Genomic DNA, 20,681 nt, shown 5'->3' on the forward strand with positions numbered 1-20,681 from the left:
GATCTTAATTGTTGGGTGTTGAGATATGTACAATGAGGGAAGTGACCAGGAAAATTTGTTTTTGTTCTTGTTATTTTGTTTTGTGTGTTTTCTTCTATTGCTTTTATAATTTTACTGTCACATTTAAATCGCTAAGTCACAGATTATATAAGTTGAAGGGAAACACACATAACACAACTTTTAAAAAGAAAAAAGTCTCCCACAGATCGGGAGGTGTATCATGAATTGAGGAGTATTATCATGTCAGTTCTGAGCATCTGAGGGCTTAAAAATAAAGTGCAATAAAACAAAAAGTTTTCAATAGAGAATTAATAAGTAATTATAACAAACAGTCTGTATTTACATTCATGCAGTTAAGCCATATCTCAGATAGTTACACCCTGCAGTTGAAAAAGGCCATAGAGATTACCTACTAGTTCCATCTCTATTTTGAATAAAGACACTGACTTTCAAAGAAGTCAGTTATTAATAGCTAATATGACACAACATGATGTTAGCAGAGTTGAGACAGCCTTGTTTTCCCAATGATCCAATCAATGTTTCTTATACTCTTCCATTTTATTCATTCATTCATTGTTATTCTGGCATGTACTATGTCAAGAAAAGGCACATGTTAGATGTTATAGAGAAGGCCGAAAGTATGTCCTTGTGGCCAACACTCTACAGTTATATTCAGAACACCATAATAAGTATACAAAAGTATACTACAAGAAAACATGGAAGGTCCAAACAAGTGTTTGGATATAGCTTTTGAGTTCAAATGAGAAAAAAAATAAAGCCATGGTTAATAATTCTTGCCAAGCACGTTAGTAAATGCTTTACAGATCTTTTCTCATGTAATCTTCACTACGCAACTCACAAAACAGTTATTATTAAACCCCATTTACAGATAAAGACACACTGAGAGTAACTTAGTAATGTACAAAAGATAGTATAGCGGCTAAATATTCAAATCATGGCAGTGACTCTAATCATCGTATTGCACTGCTCACCTACAGTAGTAGGAAGGATGAAAAAATTTTGGAGAGAACATGAGATGCATAGGACAAAAAGTATGCATAGTACTTCCAATTATGAGAAAAAGGAGCAATATCATGGGTAAAAAAAGCATATTGTAAGTATTCACAGAGATGGCAAACTGCATGTGTGTTTGTAGAACAGAATTAGAAAATTACGATGGAAAGGTAGGAAGGGCCAAATAGTCAAAGGGATTGAGTACCAAGGTAAATTGTTGGGTTTTATATTGTGAGCAGTGGGAGATATCAAACCTTTCTGAGCATAGGAGATGCATATTCAAAACAGGTTTTTACGAACATTAATAGTAGTGCTTTTATTTCTTTTAAAATGACATACTCTTGCATATTTTAAAAGCAAAAAACAAAACAAAAAGACCTAAGAAAGCACTGAAATATTTTGAAAACCAGGACAGCAACCAGACTAGAAATAATAACTAGCCAGATTTGTTTAAAAAGTCCTCATCACCAATTATAACACACCAGATTTGCTTTTTTACCAGCTGAGAAAAAAAAAATGCCCTCACTTCCACTGTTTGTTTTTACTCATTGGCACCATTTTCAATCATAATTACATTCAATAATATTTTGAATAATTGAAATGTTGATTCTTAGTTACCCAAAACTCTTGGTTTTTGTTATAGTATGAAATTATTGAGGATTGACTCTACTTACCAAAGGAATCCCTAAGTAAAATATACGGTTGGAATATTTATCCAAAATCCAACTTGAATTATACATGTTCCAAATACTTCCCATTGTAAAGGACCCTTCTTCTGCATGCATAAATTGCTGAGAAATCAGCACATATTTTATGGTAAAAGATAATGTAATCAAGTGACCGGCAGCCCATTTAAATACCAAAATATTATTCATGTATAAGAATACTTTGCGCAAAGAATCTGTATGACTTATTTTTAACAAGGGAAAAAAAAGAATACACAGTAAAAGGAAATTTTCTATAATGTGAGTGGACTGGGCAAAATAGACCTTTCTAAAGAGTCTCCTTCCTCCCTCCAAAAAAAAGAAAAAAATAGAACACCTATTCTGAGCATTTCTTCAATCCTACACTCAGTCAAGTCGTAATGACTCTACTGGTAGCTTGAAATTGGCCATTTGGGAAGAACATACAGCAGAGATATCAGTAAATGCAACAAATCTGGGCAGTTTTTTATTCCAGAGCCAATTTTCCAATACATAACTAATTATAAATGTTCCAAATGTTTTCTTGATTCAGGAACCTTGATTCTTGTGAAAATATTTGAGAATTTGATGACTGAAATAGAAATCTTATAGAGGACATTTGAAATATAAAAACCAGTTATGTTTTATTTTTTAAAGAACAGAAGTCTTCTAAGATGTATCATTTTCCCTTTGTCATAGGAAGGCTCCCAAAATGTTTTGCCATTCACTAAATATTTTTGAGGCTATTAATGAGAATGCTCCTTAAATCTAATAGTCTTCTCCACTTGTTCTCAAATACTAAAATGCTGATGCTTGTTAAAACACAAACTCCTGAGCTGCACACACTCCGAGAATTTCTAATTCTGTAGATTTGGGTTGGTGGTCAAGAATGTGCATTTTTAACAAGTTTCTGGATGATGCATATGCTCCTGGTTTAGGCCTCATACTTTGAAAACCATTGGATACTTAACCATATTTTATTAGCAACTAGAAAATTTGCCCTTAATAATATAAAATATTTTAACTTTCTGATGAAAATCATTTTAAAATGTAATGGTCAGGCTGGGCACAGTGGCTCACACCTTTGTTCCCAGCACTTTGGGAGGCGAGGCGGGCCATATTGCTGGAGTCCAGGAGTCCAGCCTGGGCAACATGGTGAAACCCCATCTCTACTAAAAATACAAAAATTAGCCCAATGTGGAGGTGCATGCCTATAGTCCCAGCTACTGGGGAGGCTGAGGCAGGAGAATCACTTGAACTCAGGAGGCAGAGGTTGCAGTATGTTGAGATTGCACCACAGCACTCCAGCCTAGAAGACAGAGTGAGACTCTGTCTTAAAAAAAAAAAAAAAAAAAAAAAAGTAATGGTCTACATTCTTCAGAATTACTTACCAGACATAATTTAGTATTTCTTAAGAGATCTCTGGGCCATTAAGTCATCATTTAGATATCAGTTCTCATTTTTCGTCAGTATTTGAAAATCTAGCCTTGGACTTTGTGTCTCTTTCTCTGTCTCTCTCTCTCTCTCTCTCCCTGCTCCCAAACACACAAACAGACACATACACACAGACACACACACACACAGACACACACACACCAAATCTGTTTTGTATTTATTATTGTCCCTTTAAGTTGAAGCAATGCCACTTCACTTTTCATAACTTAACTTTTTGCCCCAAAAGTAGAAATATCCATTTTTCTTTCTTAGGGTTGTTGTGTGAACCAAGTACATAATGCTGGTATATGTTGAGCAATACAATTGACAATGCTCAAGTATTCAAAGATATACTATAATAGTGAATCTGATTTTTATTTGAAAACTGAATTACTTTGCAAAACAAATAGGAAAGATAAAATAGCTATAAAAAATGTCAGAGGACCTTATTTAAACATCTTGAATCTTATTTTAAATACAGCATTATACATACCTCAAAGAATGCCCATCTATGAGTTTATTCACTTATATATCATTAAACTAATATTTATTGAGTGCCTAATATATATCAGGTACTGTGTACTGGGAATATAGCACTGAAAAAAAAAAAAGAAAGACCAGTGTCATGACTCTTAAAGAGTCTACTAGGGCATACAGATATTAATCAAATAATCATGTTAGTGAACTTTTCAGTTAAGGGTGAATAATTTATCCAAAGTAAATTAGATAAATTCATTTTTAGGGCTACTGTGGGTACACATTGTAAATAATAACTGACCTACATTTGAGAATCAAAGAAATAGTCCAAAAGGAAATGATAATCTCATGCTGAAAATAATCTCGTGCTGAAATCTGGAGAATTAACAGGAGTTAACTAGGCAAAAAGAAAACAGTGTTCCACAAGGAGGAAGCACTGCACAGAGCCCTGGGGTGAGTGAGAGGATGCTAGAGTGTTGAAAGCTATGAGAGACAGTATAATAGCCCTGGTAGTAGGAAGGGAGTAGAGAGAAAGATTGAGGAAAAAGTGAGCAGGTAAGGCTGGAGAGATCATGATAAGAATTTTACCAGGCTAAGAATTTTAATTACCTTAAGAACAATAGAAAGGCAAGGGTAGGTTATAAGAAGTAGAAAGAGATATATAAACAGATTTGTGTAAAATATCACTACCTTGGTTGCTTTAGATATACTAAATTGAATAAAATGCATGGCTAAATTAATTTCACTATTTTTTCCTCTTCTAATATGCCTCCTAGAAAACTTAAAATTTTATGTGTGGCTCTCACATTTCACATAGAAAGTCTTAAATATACTTTATTTTTCTCTATTGCTTTGGGCAAGGCATATGAGAAAAAGTCAACAAACAATTGTTTGTTCTTACTATGTAAGATTTTTAAAAAATTCTAAGTACTACTAAACATTTAGATATTTATAAACTATGTATGAATCACACCATAGGAACTTATATGCATAATTCAGACCCCACGCTTAGATATTCAGCCCAAAGCAGTAGAAAAAAATATTCCAGGATAGTATTGCCCATCAAATATAATAAGAGCCATCTGTAAAATTTTAAGTTTTCTAGTGGTCACATAAGAAAACTAAAAAGTTAAATTAATTTAATATTTTATTTAACCCCATAAATCTAAAATCTTATTTCAACATTCAATCAATATATAATTATTGAGATATTTTCCATTTCTTTTCTAGTATTACGTTTGGAATCCAGTGTTTTTCTGACTCTCACAGTGTATCTCATCTCAGAGTATTCACATTTTGAATGCTCAATACCTTCATGACTAGTGGCTGCTGTATCACACACCACAGCACTAGGAGGTGGTGGTTCTGGTATCTTATTCTCCTAACACTAACCAATTTGGTGACCTTAAAAAAGTCACAATATTTAGGTTTCCTTTTGTCATCTATGACATAGGCATAATATTCATTTTATCTGCCTCAAAAAGCTACAATAATAAATTTAAAAACAATTCAATATATTTGAATATTCAACTCAATAGCTCACATTATTAAGAATGATTTCCATCTTACTTTACTTTCATGATTTTTATACCTTCAAAATTAATAATAAAAACAAACACCAAAAAGGATTACTACTACTAAAACAAATATCTGTACTATTTGTACTGTGATAGCTTTAAAAATACATTAAATGTTGTTAGGCTTTCTATAAATTAAATTAGAACTCACACAAATGTCCCTTATGAATGAAGTTATTAGCCAATTATTCAAAAAGAACATACATGGGCATTTTAATAAATTATAAATATCTAATGATGCTCTTGTGTAAATACTGGGCAGGTGCCTTGGCTATGAGAACCACAAGCATTTTCACCACTCAGGAAATTGATAATAGCCTAGATTAAGGAGGAAATTATGAAAAACAGTCCAGAATTTTAATTAACACTTAAACACGCTAAACTGAAATCACAATGACATAACAAATAATGCAGCAACTCCAGATTTATATATCTTTATAGAACTGCTGAAAAGTGAATTTATTAAATAAGGTGTTCAGTACCTTATTTTCTCAGATTATCCTTTTTTTTCATTTTTTAAAAAAGAAACAGGGCCTCATGCTCTGTCACTGCATCTGGAGTGCAATGGTACAATCATAGTTCACTACAGCCTCAACTCCCGGGCTTGAAAAACCCTCCTGCCTCAGCCTCCCAACTGGCTGGGACTAGAGATGTGTAGCACTGCATGTGGCAAAATTTTTAAGAAAACTTTTGTAGAGATGGGGTCTCACTATGTTGCCCAGGCTGGTGTTGAACTTCTGGCCTCAAGTAATCCTCCCACTTCAGCCTCCCAAAGTGCTGGAATTACAGAAGCGAGCCAATGTGCCCAGCCCCAGATATCTCAATGGTATCCATTTGATACAAATGATTTTAATTACTTAGTTGTTATATGCATCATGTGATATTCATCATAAGAAAACCTAAACAGGGTTTGAATTATTCCCAGTAACGCAAATGTGTCACTGTAACTAGTATTTTGTGTGCTAAGAGGGTTGGGTGTTCTGTCACTGGTATTCTTGAACTCTGGATCAAAACTTAAACCCCTATTGCATTTAGAGTTCAGTGCTAAGACTGGTATAATACCTCTCTATAATTTTTTAAATCTGTTATAAATATCAGGCCACTTAGAAGAAAATTTAATACTGTAATCATTCTAGTGCCTTGCTAAAAGTACTACCACCTTTAACGATTCCCATTGTGGTAGATACTGCATGAATGTCTCTAATTCTTTGGTTTCTGTGCACCCATTTTGCTACATGATTTTCACTAATAATTACTGATGAGATTGAATCTATACCCTTTCTCTTTTTGTGTACTTTTTTCTTGTAGCTATTTTAGCCATTTTTGAGTGTACAATTCTGTGGCATGAAGTACATTCACATTATGCAACTATTACCACCATCCATCTTCAGAACTTTTTTGTCTTCCCCAACTGAAACCCTGTGTCTATTAAATATTAATTCCCAATTCCAGTCCCTGGAACAACTCCAGTTCCTGGCAACCACCACTCTACTTGCTATGAATTTGACTACTCTAGGGACCTAGTAGAAGTGGAATCATACAATATTTGTCCTTTTGTGACTGGCATAATTCACAACGTAATGTTTTCAACTTTCAACCATGCTCTAGCATGCATCAAAATTCCCTTAAGACTGGATAATAGTTCATTGCATATATGTACCACATCTTGTTTATCCATTCATCTGTTGATGGACACCTGGGTTACTTCTGCTTCTGGCTTTTGTAAATAATGCTGCTACTGAACAAGGGTGTGCAAATATCTGTTTGAATCCATGCTTTTGATTATTTGAAAATTAAATTCTTTTAATTCTTTGGGTATGTACTTAGAGAGGGAATTGCTGGATTACATTGTAATTCTATGTTTAAATTTTTGAAGAATCACCATACCATTTTCTATAGCAGCTCCATCATTTTATATTCTCACCAACAATGCAGAAGTGTTCCAAATTCTCTGTATCCTTTCCAACACTTGTCAATTTCAGGTTTCATTTCATTTTGTTTTATTTTTCCAGCCTAATGGGTATAAAGTGATATCTCTTTGTGATTTTGATTTGCCTTTATTCTTTTACTCACAAACCTGGCTGGTTTTATGACTAATTTTAGTCAATGAAATACTAGCAAAGTGACTCATGAATAAGATTGAAAATGTGCTCGGGCTTGTCTCTTGCCCTCTGCTGGTAATGGATGGTCCCTGAGTTACAATGGTTCAACTTCACAATTTTTAAACTTTATGATGGCTTTAGCAAGGTATCAAATGCATTTTTTACTTAAAATATTTTTCACTTACAATAGGCTTATTGGAATGTAACCCCATCAGAAGTCAAGGAGCATCTATAGAATGGGAAGAACATACTCAGGCTTGCCTGTTGAAGAAAGGGATATGAGGAACAGAGCCAAACTACTCAAGTCAGCCCAGATGAGGACATCCTAGGTTAGGCAACCGGTAGCTGACCCTCAACCAAACATGTGAGTGAGCTAGCCAAGATGAGCAGCACCTTCAAGCTAATTCTTGTTGGCTGCAGAGGCATATGCAAGCCCAGGTGAGACCACCTAAGCATAGCCTTGTCAGTCAATCCTAGTTCCAGTCAGCAAAACCCTATAGACTCAAGGCTAAACAAATTGTCACTTTGTTTGTTTATTTTGTAGTATTACTACTAACACTGGATAAGTCATACATAATCTGTGGTAGGAAACCAAAAATTAAATAATTGCATGAAAGTCTGATGCTAAAAAATAAATTAAGGTAGAAATATGGTGGTAAGAATGTGACAAAAGGAAAGATCAAGTTGGTTAATATTGCTGCAGTACAGTGGACAGACCAGAAGAATGAGGATGGAAAAGCAATTTTGCTCTTTTGAGAAAGTATGTTTTCCTGTCTCCATTCACTCTGTCAAACCATGGACATTGTGTTTGGCTCCAGAAACCCTTTTCTAAAAATCTATTAGCTGAGAAAGCAAAGAAACAAGGACATTGGTTTGTATCCATGTAAGATCAGGAAGGTCACAAGTCCAGGCATAACAGTCTTTCTAACGGGCAGACTGCAAAATTCTTATTGGCTACACAGCTATTATTTTCACTTACAATCCAATCCTTGTGACCCTGGTCATCTCACAAACTTTGTTCTATTTTATACCTGGCCTACTATAAGTCTCTATGTTTCCTACCTGATCTTTGTCAACATTTGAGTCAGAACTTTTGGTCTGGAATTATAACTTCCATTGGTTTCTTCTCATTGTGTTTCTCAGAAATGCAACTTTTCAGAAAATACAAATTAAACATGACTGGGATGTTGTGGATGACACACCTAGCTTGCTATTAAAAATTGTTTTCTTTCACTATGAAAACACAAGTTCCAAGAGTTTTAAACACAGTGCTAGAAACAATTATAATCTCCACCCCCAACCTTTGCTTTCTTTCTCTGTGATATTTGGCACAGCATTCTTATAGTTGTCATTAGCATCAGTATTTTCACTGGTCGTGAAATGAGCTGTAGAGCACCCTCACAATGAAGCCAAGGGAACGTAATGCCAATTTTTGTTCTGTGATCAATTTGAAATGGCTTGCTGTTTGGGTCCTGACTGAGACAGATTAACAACATCTTACCGCAAAATGCTATTGATCAATCTACTGTTTAAAAAAAATTACCATGGAAATGTGTTATTTCTGATATCTCATCTCCCTTTATTTAACTTTATAGTCTAACATTATTTTCATAAATAGACACCCTTTTCCAGCAATGTCAAAGCACACAATACCACAGGGATTTTATTAAAATGCATTTAACAGTGGTAAACATGCCAACAGAACACTTAGTTTCATAAAGAAAAAAACATTAAAAGGAAAAAAGAATAAAATCTGGACCTAATTTTCATACACAAATATCATCTTCAAGATAGTTTTTTTTTCAGTTTTTATAAAGCTTATGTCATGAGAAATATATCAAAACTATTATTTGACATGTAAAAAAGAAACCTGGTTGTATCTTACTCATCTTAATCTATATAGCAAGAATTTTTAACGTGGGAAGCTCAAGCCACCCAGAAGACCATGTATGGAATTCAGGAAGTCCAGGAACTTGAATGAATACAATTAGATCCCCTTTTCCCACTAACCTGTAACTGGTTTAGCCATTCCTTAAGCTATGAATGTAGGCAACAGACCATAGTACTGTTAAAATCTGTGGTTCTCATCAGAAGAAATCACAATTTTCATATTATTAATACATTAAAGTTGTGCAAATAGTTCAATATATTATTTATGTCCACCACTATGTCAAAATTATAGTAATTAGGTAATCATAGATTCGATTACTAAATGTGTTGAAGAAGTGCATATATTACCATGTCACAAGTTTGTTTTATTATATTTGTGACATGTTTTTAAATATAGGTTTTCTTTTTTTTTTTTTTTTTTTGAGACGGAGTCTCGCTCTGTCGCCCAGGCTGGAGTGCAGTGGCGCGATCTCGGCTCACTGCAAGCTCCGCCTCCCGGGTTCACGCCATTCTCCTGCCTCAGCCTCCCGAGTAGCTGGGACTACAGGCGCCCGCCACTACGCCCGGCTAATTTTTTTGTATTTTTAGTAGAGACGGGGTTTCACCGTGTTAGCCAGGATGGTCTCGATCTCCTGACCTCGTGATCCGCCCGCCTCGGCCTCCCAAAGTGCTGGGATTACAGGCGTGAGCCACCGCGCCCGGCCAAATATAGGTTTTCTTTAATCTTAGGTATTTTATGCCCTCACTAACTTTATTTAGAAAGGGGGGGTCTACAGGTTTCACCAGGTGCCAAAGGGGTCCATGGTACAAGTATTCTTAATAACCTCTGCTCACCGGAAATATATTTACTAGCAGAAAATTCTTGTTGAACATCTTAAGATAGAAAAAATTCAGCATCACATCTAGCAGAATGAAATTTGATGAGTCACTGACTGAAAACTTTGTGTGGGCAGCCTTAAGGAAAACTAAAATAAGCAATATTCGAGGCCACTCTCTTTCTCCTCCCTCTGAGCTAAATACCCTTATTCTGCCTTGTGCTGAAGTTATCCAGTGTGCTCTCGGAAAGCAAATGGTTTCCTCTCCTTTCCTGGCAGTTCTCAAACGTTGAGACTTTTGTCTATACTCTATTAAACAAGGTCTGTGCTAAAAGGAACTGGTAAGTGTGTTAATTATCAATGCCTCAATGTAAAACGTGAGTAAAAACAGAGAAGACACCATATATAATCTTGAGTCCAGAAACTCAAGTGTCTCTACTTACCTGAATTTTCAAAAATTCTAGAAAGGGTCAAGTTCACAAATATCTCCAATTGTGCTACATTTTAGAGCCTAATTTTCAGGTTTCAGGATCTAATAATCCTTCAGGGGTTTCATCAGACCCCAACAAAATTACCTTCCACCTCTACCACACAACTAAAGATATTTTAGGTTTAATTTTTCTCCTCCTCCTTCTAATAGATCACCCAGATCAAAAGGAGCAGGTATCAAGTATGCACGAACGCAGCTCAAAACACTTTACTCAACCACATTCCCAAAGGAAACAGCAGTGATAAATCTTTAGTAATAAATGAAAGTTTGACTAAGCCATACTAATATTTAAGGTTGGTTAATTTCGTGCCAGCCACCGTGGCCATACGGTTAACCCAGCATTGAAGTAAACTTAGATTTTGTACGTAATCTAGGCCATATGTACAGGAGATTGAAATTAGTAAGGCAAGGTCCACTGCAGGTTCCTTATTAGTCCCTTCTCACACTGCTAATAAAGATATACCCAGGACTGGGTAATTTATAAAGGAAAATGGTTTAATTGACTCACAGTTCAGCATGGCTCAGGAGGCCTCAGGAAACTTAACAATCATGGCAGAGGGGGAAGCAAACATCCTTCTTCTCATGGCAGCGGCAAGAAGCGCCTAGCAAAAGGAGGAAAAGCTCCTTATAGAACCATCAGATCTCGCGAAAACTAACTCACTTCACAAGAACAAGATGGGGGAAACTGCCCCCACAATCTATTTATTTCCACCTGGTCCCTCCCACAACACGTGGGGATTATGGGAACTACAATTCAAGATGAGATTTGAGTGGGGACACAGCCAAACCATATTAAGTTGGATTAGGTGTCTTAGTTGATTCCTGCTGTTACAATAAAATACCATAGACTGGGTAATTTATAAATGGTAGAAATTTATTTTTCACAGTTCTAGAGGCTGAGAAGTCTAAGACTGTGGCACCAGCAAATTCACTGGCCAGCGAGGGCCTTTGATGGTGCCTTCTATGTGTCCTCACATGGCACAAGGGCAAAAGGGACAAACTTGCTCCCTCCCGTCCTTTTTTAAGGGCACTAATCCCATCCACCCTCATAGCCTAATCACCTCCTATGGACCCCACCTTTTAATATTATCACCTTGGGGGTTAAGTTTCCATGTATAAATTCAAACACGCATTCAAACCACAGTTCAAGGGAAATGAATTCATCTCCTTTGCTGAATTTGAACATAATAAAAATCACAATAAATTTTTTATTCTTCATACCTACAAGAGACTCTCTGAAAGACAAGTGTGGACCAGTATTCCAAAGTCCAGATGTTTTCTAAAGCTTAATGTATCTGTATATGTATTCAATATAACTTACTTGATCCCATTTCATGTTCCTTTTCATAGATTTGGATATGTGAATTAACATATATTCACTCCTGGTGAGACTAGCAGCATATGATATAAAATATCACAAAATAGCAAATGGTTAAGCCAAGTTCTTTTTTCTTTCTCCATTCCTGTATAATCTAGGGCACCCAGTTGATGGGGCAAAAGGAAAATTTTAAGATGAAGTTTTAAGTTGAAATTGGATAGGTTAAAAAAAATGTATTCACATTTTTCTGCCTACCTCAAGGGAAATGTACTAACTGAGGATCACATTGAAATGGAGGTGTGTTCAGACACTTCCTGAGTTTTTATATTTAACTTCCCTTAGACTCAAAGCAAGAACACAGGGAGCCCACCTCCATTTCACATCCTGTTAGCACATTTTATAGGGGAGGGAAGAGATGATTGAATAGTTAGAATCTGTACAGTTCTAATTATGTGGGATGCTGAAATAAGATTAGCAAGAATTGAAATGCTGAAAAGCAAACAATATCCACAGAAATGGGGTTAAGGAAAGTCTTGGCATTATTTAAGAGGATAAATCTCTTTCCAACTAGCATATTATAACAAGAATATTTAAGTTTAGTACATATTATAGAGCAAACTGAGGCTGTCTCTCTTTTGTTAAGGTATAGATCTTTAACCTTTTTTGAACTGAAGAACTTCAAGGGTGAAAAACAAGCACCCCTGAAGGGTGAGGGTTCACACATGTTCTAGAATAATGAGCAGTTAATAACTGCAATGTCATCTATAGGAGAAATATGTCACTATTCCATTTAGACACATTCAGGGCCCCTCTGCTTGCAGATCACCTCACTTTGAAGTTTTAAATACATCCAGTATTAACATATGATAAAGGAAATCATGGATTAGATAAACCCAAACATTTTAACAGATATATAAATACCGATGTGAACAGTATCATCTTTGAACAATACAATTAATATGACTGACTTCCATAAAAAATTTATTCACTTGGCTCTTTGACACAGTACCTGCTTTTACCCTCCCCAAATATTATTGAACTGCCAAGTTGTATTTGGCTAAAAGCTTTGGGCTATTTAAATGAAATTACACTTAAAACTACTTACAACGTCAGAGGACATCTTCTCAGATTTTGGCAAGATCTTTGCCATTTGTTCAATTAACGCACTGATGATCTGAAAGTAAATCTTGTGCTGGGAAGAGAAAGTTACATAATGTCCATCTATGTGACAAGCATCTGAACTGGTATTCACTAAGTCTGAGAATCTAGTCAAAGTTATGATGAATACAGGGCTTACCTGGTGAGAAGGGGGTGGTGGCTTAAGAATTCAACAACTTTAGGTCGGCTGAATCCATAGGTAGATCAGATATTCATATAACACAGTACTCTCAGGTATCCCAAGAGCAGAGTCAGGACTGCGCTCGGTGGCTCATGCCTGTAATCCCAGAAATTTGGGAGGCCAAGGTGGGTAAATCACTTGAGGCCAGTAGTTTGAGACCAGTCTGGCCAACATAGGGAAAGCCCGTCTCTACTAAAAACACAAAAAGTTAGCCAGGTGTGGTGGTGCAAGCCTGTAATCCTAGCTACTTGGGAGGCTGAGGCAGGAGAATCACTTGAACCTGGGAGGTAGATGTTGCAGCGAGCCAAGACTGCGCCATTGCACTCCAGCCGGGCTGACAGAGTGGGATTCTGTTTCAAGAAAAAAAAAAAAGTTGAACTGAGTCTGAGAGTTGATGCCTTCTTATATTTTGCATGTTGCTTGCTTGCTGCACCCAGCCCTGCAGGAATTTTAAGCATTTTGATACTTTCAGTCACATTTGATGTTAGGGTGGATATGATACAGGAAGGCAGTATTTTCCAAAGTGTAGTTTAAGGTCCACTTAAATCAGGAGTATCTGAAAAACCTGGAAAAACTGGGATTTCTATACTCTTTTACTCAGAGACTGAGGCTTGATTAATCTGCATTTATACCATCTATTTTGGGTGATTCCAGTGCATTTTAAAGTAGATCCTCCAGTATTTTCTGCATAATTGGATGATTGATTGAGCGAATAAACAGAATGTAAGTGGAGACTCCGGCAGTTGTTTAAAAATGATCTTGTACTGGCCAGGTGCGGTGGCTCACACCTGTAATCCCAGCACTTTGAGAGGCCAAGGCGGGCAAATCACGAGGTCAGGAGATCGAGACCACCCTGGCTAACACAGTGAAACCCCATCTCTACTAAAAATACAAAACAAAATCAGCTGGGCGTAATGACAGGCACCTGTGGTCCCAGCTACTCGGGAGGGTGAGGCAGGAGAATGGCGTGAACCTGGGAGATGGAGCTTGCGGTGAGCCGAGATCATGCCACTGCACTCTAGCCTGGGTGACAGAGCAAGACTCTGTGACAAAAAAAAAAAAATTACCTTGTACTCCACATTTTTCTTGAACTAAAAAAGAAACCAACTGGAAAGAAGAATGTCTGCATATGAATTTACTCATTCATGTAACTTACCATGTTGCTTTTTCTAATAGAATATATTCTAATAACTTCAAATAATTTTACATAGAAACATTGAATTTATTCTGAAGTATTTAATGGTAGGTAACTGCAAATACAGGCAGGTAAAGTAAAAATAAATAATTGAGTTTCTTAAACTTTTCTGAATTTACAGTTCTTAATTTTTGGTCCCCAATATTTTACCAACCCATTCATCCAGAACGCTACTAAGTTAGCACAATATATACTCTTAAAACAGAATATCTTTAAAGATGTCCCCTAAAACAGGAGCAAAAACAAAATACAAGTTTTATACTATTCCACAGAAATCATGGGATTTGCATATTCCCTTGAGGGAAAGGTTATCTTTTCAAAAGGTTATCTTTTGAATCAACCTAAACAGAAGAAATACTTCTATTTAAGAAGCTGGAATAATGATAAGAACTGCTGTTAGACTTCTAATTGTAGAAACACCTAAATTTCTAGTTTACAAGTTGTCCTGTTCCTGCTATGAAAGGATGTTTTATACTTTTCAGTCTTGAATTCATGTTTGTTTCTTATGTAATATACAGCTCTCTTGGATCCAGCAAAGCCTTACTTGATAGATACTCTGTTATCCCATTTATTGCAGCAATGATTATGATATGAAGATACATTTTGGTGCTAACAAAATCATGTTTTGGCTCAATAGCTAAAGAGGCAGAACAGAATGGCCCACCAAGGTACAGTTTTTGAGAAAATACTGCAGTAGAATCATCAGCTAGGGAAAAAGAGATTGTTTATGTGTTAGTTGAACATTGATTATAGTACTTTGGGGGATTATTGAATGGTGTTTTGGAATTTGAGGGTTTTATGAATATGGCAAAAGCTTTTTTGCCTCTTCTAGGAACAAAAAAACTACTTTTAGGGTACAGATTCTAAGAAAGGATGAATATTCTGTCTTTCATACCCAATTACTAGCACCAGGTCTCAGTCTCACAAGATTTGACTCTTTTCCTACAAGTAAAATGAGAAGACAAATGAGGTGATCAAAATGTAGACTGATGTGATCAAGAAAGTAGAGATTGTGGACCGAGCACAATGGCTCACACCTGTAATCCCAGCACTTTGGGAGGCCGAGGCGGGCAGATCACAAGTTCAGGAGATCGAGACCATCCCGGCTAACACAGCGAAACCCCGTCTCTAGTAAAAATACAAAAAATTAGCTGGGCTTGTTGGTGGGCACCTGTAGTCCCAGCTACTCGGGAGGCTGAGGCAGGAGCATTGCTTGAACCTGGGGAGGCGGAGGTTGCAGTGAGCTGAGATCGTGCCACTGCACTCCAGCCTAGGCAACAGAGTGAGACTCCGTCTAAAAAAAAAGTAGAGAATGCAAACACGATAAACTACAAACAATGGAAATATGAGTTTAATGTACACAAGAAATAAGGAAATATTACAGGGAACATTAATAAAATAGGCTTCTGATTCTTTGAGGGTATTCCTCTAGCTAGCCTCTTTGGTAAGGTTAAAATATGAAACAGTGTTTTCCAAAGTGGTGCGTTGGACAATTTGTACAAAAATCAGCCAGATAACTTGTTTAAAGCAATTTCATCAGAAATGCATTCCTCTCTATCTCTCAACTCTGCTCTATTATGTTGGCATCATCTTCAGGCAGGTTCTCTTTTGAGATATTTATAGGCAGCTCCAAGTTTCCAGGCTCCTCACAGCTAGCAAAACATGAGCTCTTCTATTCCAGACTTTACTAAGATTATATCCTATTGGCTTGTGTCACATCGCTGATTCCTGAACCAGTCATTGTGGAAACATGAAATAGGCTGTTTGACCAGTCCTGGGTCATTTGCCTAACTATGGTGACAAAACATCTGGTGAGTTCATTTAAACCTTAAGAACTAAGAATATAGGACGGGTGGTTGCCCTTTGAAATCAAGCTATAGCTACCAACAAATGAAATAAAAGCTACTAGCCTGACAAAAACCAAGCCTTCTATGGGATACTTTATATATGCTCATGTATTTATGGTATAAATGAAAGTAAAGCTCCCAGGAAGGACTCTTAAAATTCTTAATGACGCTCATCATTTTTGTCCTTGCTCTGTCTTTCTTTGTCTCATATATTTCCACACCAGACTGACTCTCATTCTTTTCCCTATATAGCTTAGTCTTCCCTCCATCTGCCCATGGAGTAAAGATGTTTTCCTGGAAAGCAGACTAAGAACATACAACAAACTGTTAAGGATGTCATGTGAGTTTGGAATTGCATTCAGCTGCTAAAGCAGAGACCTGCAATAACAATTGCTTGAGCAAGATAAAGTTGTATTTTATTTTATTTTATTTCATTAAGGAAATCCAGAAGAGCTAGGCGGACCAAAGTTGGCATAGAAAATCTCACCCCAGGCCCTTTCCATCTTCCTGTCCCACCATCATTAACACATGACTTTCGTTTTCAAGTTTGAATTCCTAAACTCAACCAAAAAAAGGCAGAAGCAGCTCCAGTTATCACATCACCATTATAGGAAGGAAGAATAGAAGAGTGGGAGGATAAACAGGAAACATCTCTGTGCCAAGGTGATTCCTTTATAAAATTTTCATGGAGTCCTTACCAAACGACTTCTGCTTACATTACATTAGTGATTTTTATTTGCAGAAGAGGCTGGGACTTGCAGTTTTGTTTTGTGTAGATCATGCTACTTCCCTACCCCATTTCCACAATTCAAGCAACTGTTACTAAGGAAGAAATGGAGAACAACAACTGTTACTAAGGAAGAAATGGAGAAATGGACAACTTTTTTACCACAGTGGTGATATTAGTGATATCAGTGATGGAATTATGGAAGACCTCTCCCATATTATATATTTCTGCAATGTTTGAATTTTCACAGTATTTTGATAAACATGAAGACAAATAAAGACAGGGAATCTGTGGAATACAATGTAGGTTACGTCTACAGTAGGGGTGTCACAATACTGGAATACAGATTATATTATCACATGTTGACCATATGCTGGCTATTCTTCCATTATTCCCTTTTTATCTATTCTTATTGCCTTCTCTAGTACCCACTAAAAAAACATATTTAAGCTCAATTCTTTCATTATTCATTATTGTGACCAGTATATAACAAACAACTGACTATCATTATTTAGAGGTGATGCATGAAGGTTAAAAAATGGTGTGTAGGCGAAAAGCACAAGTTTTCAAATCAGTAAACATATTAATATTGATTAACATACTGTGCTACTCTGGCAGGTCACTTTACCATTCTGCTCCTCAGAGACATCCCTTCTAAAAATAAATGAGGTATTCTGTATTACTGATTAGGCAGTGTTTTTTTTTTTTCAATTTAAATCTATCACAGTCCCCAAGGAAAGCTAGTAATATGTGGATTCTAGAGCCTCATCATCAAAAACTTTCATCCAGTAGTCTGTGGTGAGCTAATGAATCTACATTTTTGCCAAGCAATGGCAGGTGATTTTTGAGAAAGGTATCAGAGGATTATATCTTGAAAACACTAGTAAGATATCTTCAAATTCTTTCAACTTAATGAGACACACAGAATTTGTCTTTTTGTGTGTGTGTTTTGTTTTGGTTTGGTTTTTTGCAACAAGGTCTCACTCTGTCACCCAGGCTGAAGTGCAGTGGCATGATCATGGCTCACTGAAGCCTTGACCTCCCCACTCAATCAATCCTCCCACCTCAGCCTCCCAAGTAGCTGAAACTACAGGCACACAACACCACACTTGGCTAATTTTTGTATTTTTCACAGAGATGGGGTCTCACTATGTTGCCGAGGCCAGTCTTGAATTCCTGAACTCAAGAGATCCAACCGCCTTGGCCTCCCAAAGTGTTGGATTACAGATACGAGTCAGTGCACCCGGCCAAGAATTTGATTTCTGCTTATAAAATATTTTAATTTTTAAAGCCAGTGCATGAACAAAACTTTCATACCTATAGCTAAATTGGACATGAAGATATCTTCTCTCAATAAGTCCAATGAAATCAATTTTTCTTCCAACATTGGAATTTTCCTCTTTCTCTCCCTCTTTTTCTCTTTTCTTCCCTTTCTCGTTCTCTTGCTCCAGCTGAATCTGCAAAAGCTAAATGTCTACATGACGAGATTCACCTGTCTTGTCCATGCGTTCTTAAGATTCTGCAATGTTAAAACTCAAACTATAGAGCAATTCATTATTTTTAAAGAAACTTTCCAGGAAAAATGTTGATGAGGCCTCTCACAAGTTAAAATGAAAATCAATTTGGTTTTAATCTCATCCAGCTTTGATTGGACAATAAACATTTGGGAGTAATTTAATGAATAAAAGTGCTCATATTTTAGAAGGTAATGGCACCATAAAATAGAGCCACTAAACTGCAAATAGACAACATGTATTGCCAATTTCTCCAAGGGGAGAGGTTTATTAACCCACGTTCCAGACAGAGTGGTAACACTGTCTTGTAATTGGAAGCTCTGCCCTTTAGGTCTTTGCTACCAAATAACCTGAAGAAGCCACTCTTTAGTATAACAACACGAGTACCTTAGTTCCCCAACCAGCTATTAATTTCACTTCATTGGATCTTAAAGCACATTTTTAACCTGAGTCCACTAAATTAGTCATGTGGGGTTTTTTGCTCAATGGAGGCAAAAGAAATTCTTATTAATTTGAGGGAATAGTGGAACATAATAAAATATGGTTAAACAGCCATTCTCTTGACATAAACATCCATTTAATGAAGAACAAAATGTAGACTCATTCATTTAGTTCTAACAATCCTTGTAGTCCCAATTGCTATATTCAGTAACGCTTTCCAGACTGTTCCTAGTTCTTCTACATTTGCCTTTTTTTCAACTTATTTTAATTGGAAAGTTGCTAACATCACCCATTTTTAATATGGTAAATTGGATATCCACAGAAATGATGTCATTTTAAAAGCAAGAGAGGCACAGGAAAGCATACTCTTCCTGAGACTTCTACTGGGCAGTGCATCCTTGCAATGATAGTGCCGGGCAAGAAAATATTTTAAATTTTTGTTTATTTGTAGTTTGTAGTTTGTTTTTTACTGCTATCCTAGCATTGATTCCTTCTTTTTTTAGTTAAAAGTTCCTGATTCTTCTTTGTATATAAATATAGTGGGACAATCAGTCAAGGTCCCCCACAACTTCTGGGCAAGGGTGGGCAGGAGGCCAGATGTTCTCTTCCTGGAACTTCAATCTTAAGCAGAAGGACTCACAGATAAAAAGAAACTTGGACTCACTCATCTACCAGTAGTGCCGTATTAAAAGTCATCTATTTTTATAATAATTGTACTATGAAGACACATGCACAAGTATGTTTATTGCAGCACTATTTACAATAGCAAAGACTTGGAGCCAACACAAATGCCCATCAATGATGGACTGGATAAAGAAAAAGTGGCACATATATACAATGGAATTCTATGCAGCTATAAAAAAGAATGAGTTCATGTCCTTTGCAGGGACATGGATGAAGCTGGAAGCCATCATTCTCAGCAAATAAATACAGGAACAGAAATCCAAACACCACATGTTCTCACTCATAAGTGGGAGTTGAACAATGAGAACACATGGACACAGGGAGGGGAACATCACACACTGGGGCCTGTCAGTGGGTGGGGGGCAAGGGGAGGGAGAACATTAGGACAAATACCTAATGCATGCAGGGCTTAAAACCTAGATGGTGGGTTGATAGGTGCAGTAAACCACCATGGCACATGTATACCTATGCAACAAACCTGCACGTTCTGCACATATATCCCAGAACTTAAAGTAAAAGTTTTTTAAGTCCATTTTTTAACTGAATTTTCAGAGTGATTTTGGTCATTTCTAAACTTTACATCTTTATATTTCTGTTCAATTCTCTGAACTATTCCATATCCTTCCAACAAATCTCTGCTTTGCTTAGGCTTATCAGAGCCAGTTTGTTTTGTTTTGCTTTGTTTTGTTTTGTTTTGTTTTGCTTGCAACTAAAGAACCATACTGATATGAAAAATAAAGGCAAAATGTTATAATAGCAAAAGTCCCCAAAGTCCTTTTACCTCCCTTAGTGCTTCTAAAGCAAATGATGGAAAGGTAATCCTCCTTGATTCTTGAAAGAAAAACGTAGGTTTTCTCTACAGAAAAAGTATACATATCTCTAAACACTTAAAACTCAGAGCTTCTGTGCTGCAGGTTCATGTCTTGTCACACAGATATTTTTAATGAATTGATTTTAGAAGATGTCTTATGCATAGAAGGAAAATTAAACTTTGAACAAATCTGCTGCTGTTTCTGAATTAGAATTTCTCATTTTTGCATAAGGGACTTTTCATGCTGAAAAGAATTAGGTATCCTGACCTCAGAATCACAATGGGAAATAAGAGAAGAAAAGATTCTCAGTGGAAATAACTTC

The 20,681-nt window shown here is 36.4% G+C and overlaps 1 long non-coding RNA gene across 2 annotated transcripts; it reads right to left on the bottom strand.

Moving 5' to 3' along the window:
* Positions 1–7,004: 7,004 nt before the first annotated feature.
* Positions 7,005–13,489, bottom strand: LOC105377699 (uncharacterized). Of its 2 annotated transcripts, XR_001742959.1 has the most exons (4): positions 13,098–13,288; positions 12,906–12,992; positions 10,991–11,084; positions 7,005–7,198 (listed from the first exon to the last, which is right to left on the bottom strand). It is a non-coding gene; the product is annotated as an uncharacterized LOC105377699 (long non-coding RNA). The 2 variants fall into 2 exon arrangements; XR_001742960.2 differs by lacking the exon at positions 12,906–12,992 and having other exon boundaries at positions 13,098–13,489.
* Positions 13,490–20,681: the final 7,192 nt, after the last annotated feature.

This window comes from Homo sapiens, chromosome 5 (genome assembly GCF_000001405.40).
Source record: "Homo sapiens chromosome 5, GRCh38.p14 Primary Assembly".
NCBI lineage: Eukaryota > Metazoa > Chordata > Mammalia > Primates > Hominidae > Homo > Homo sapiens.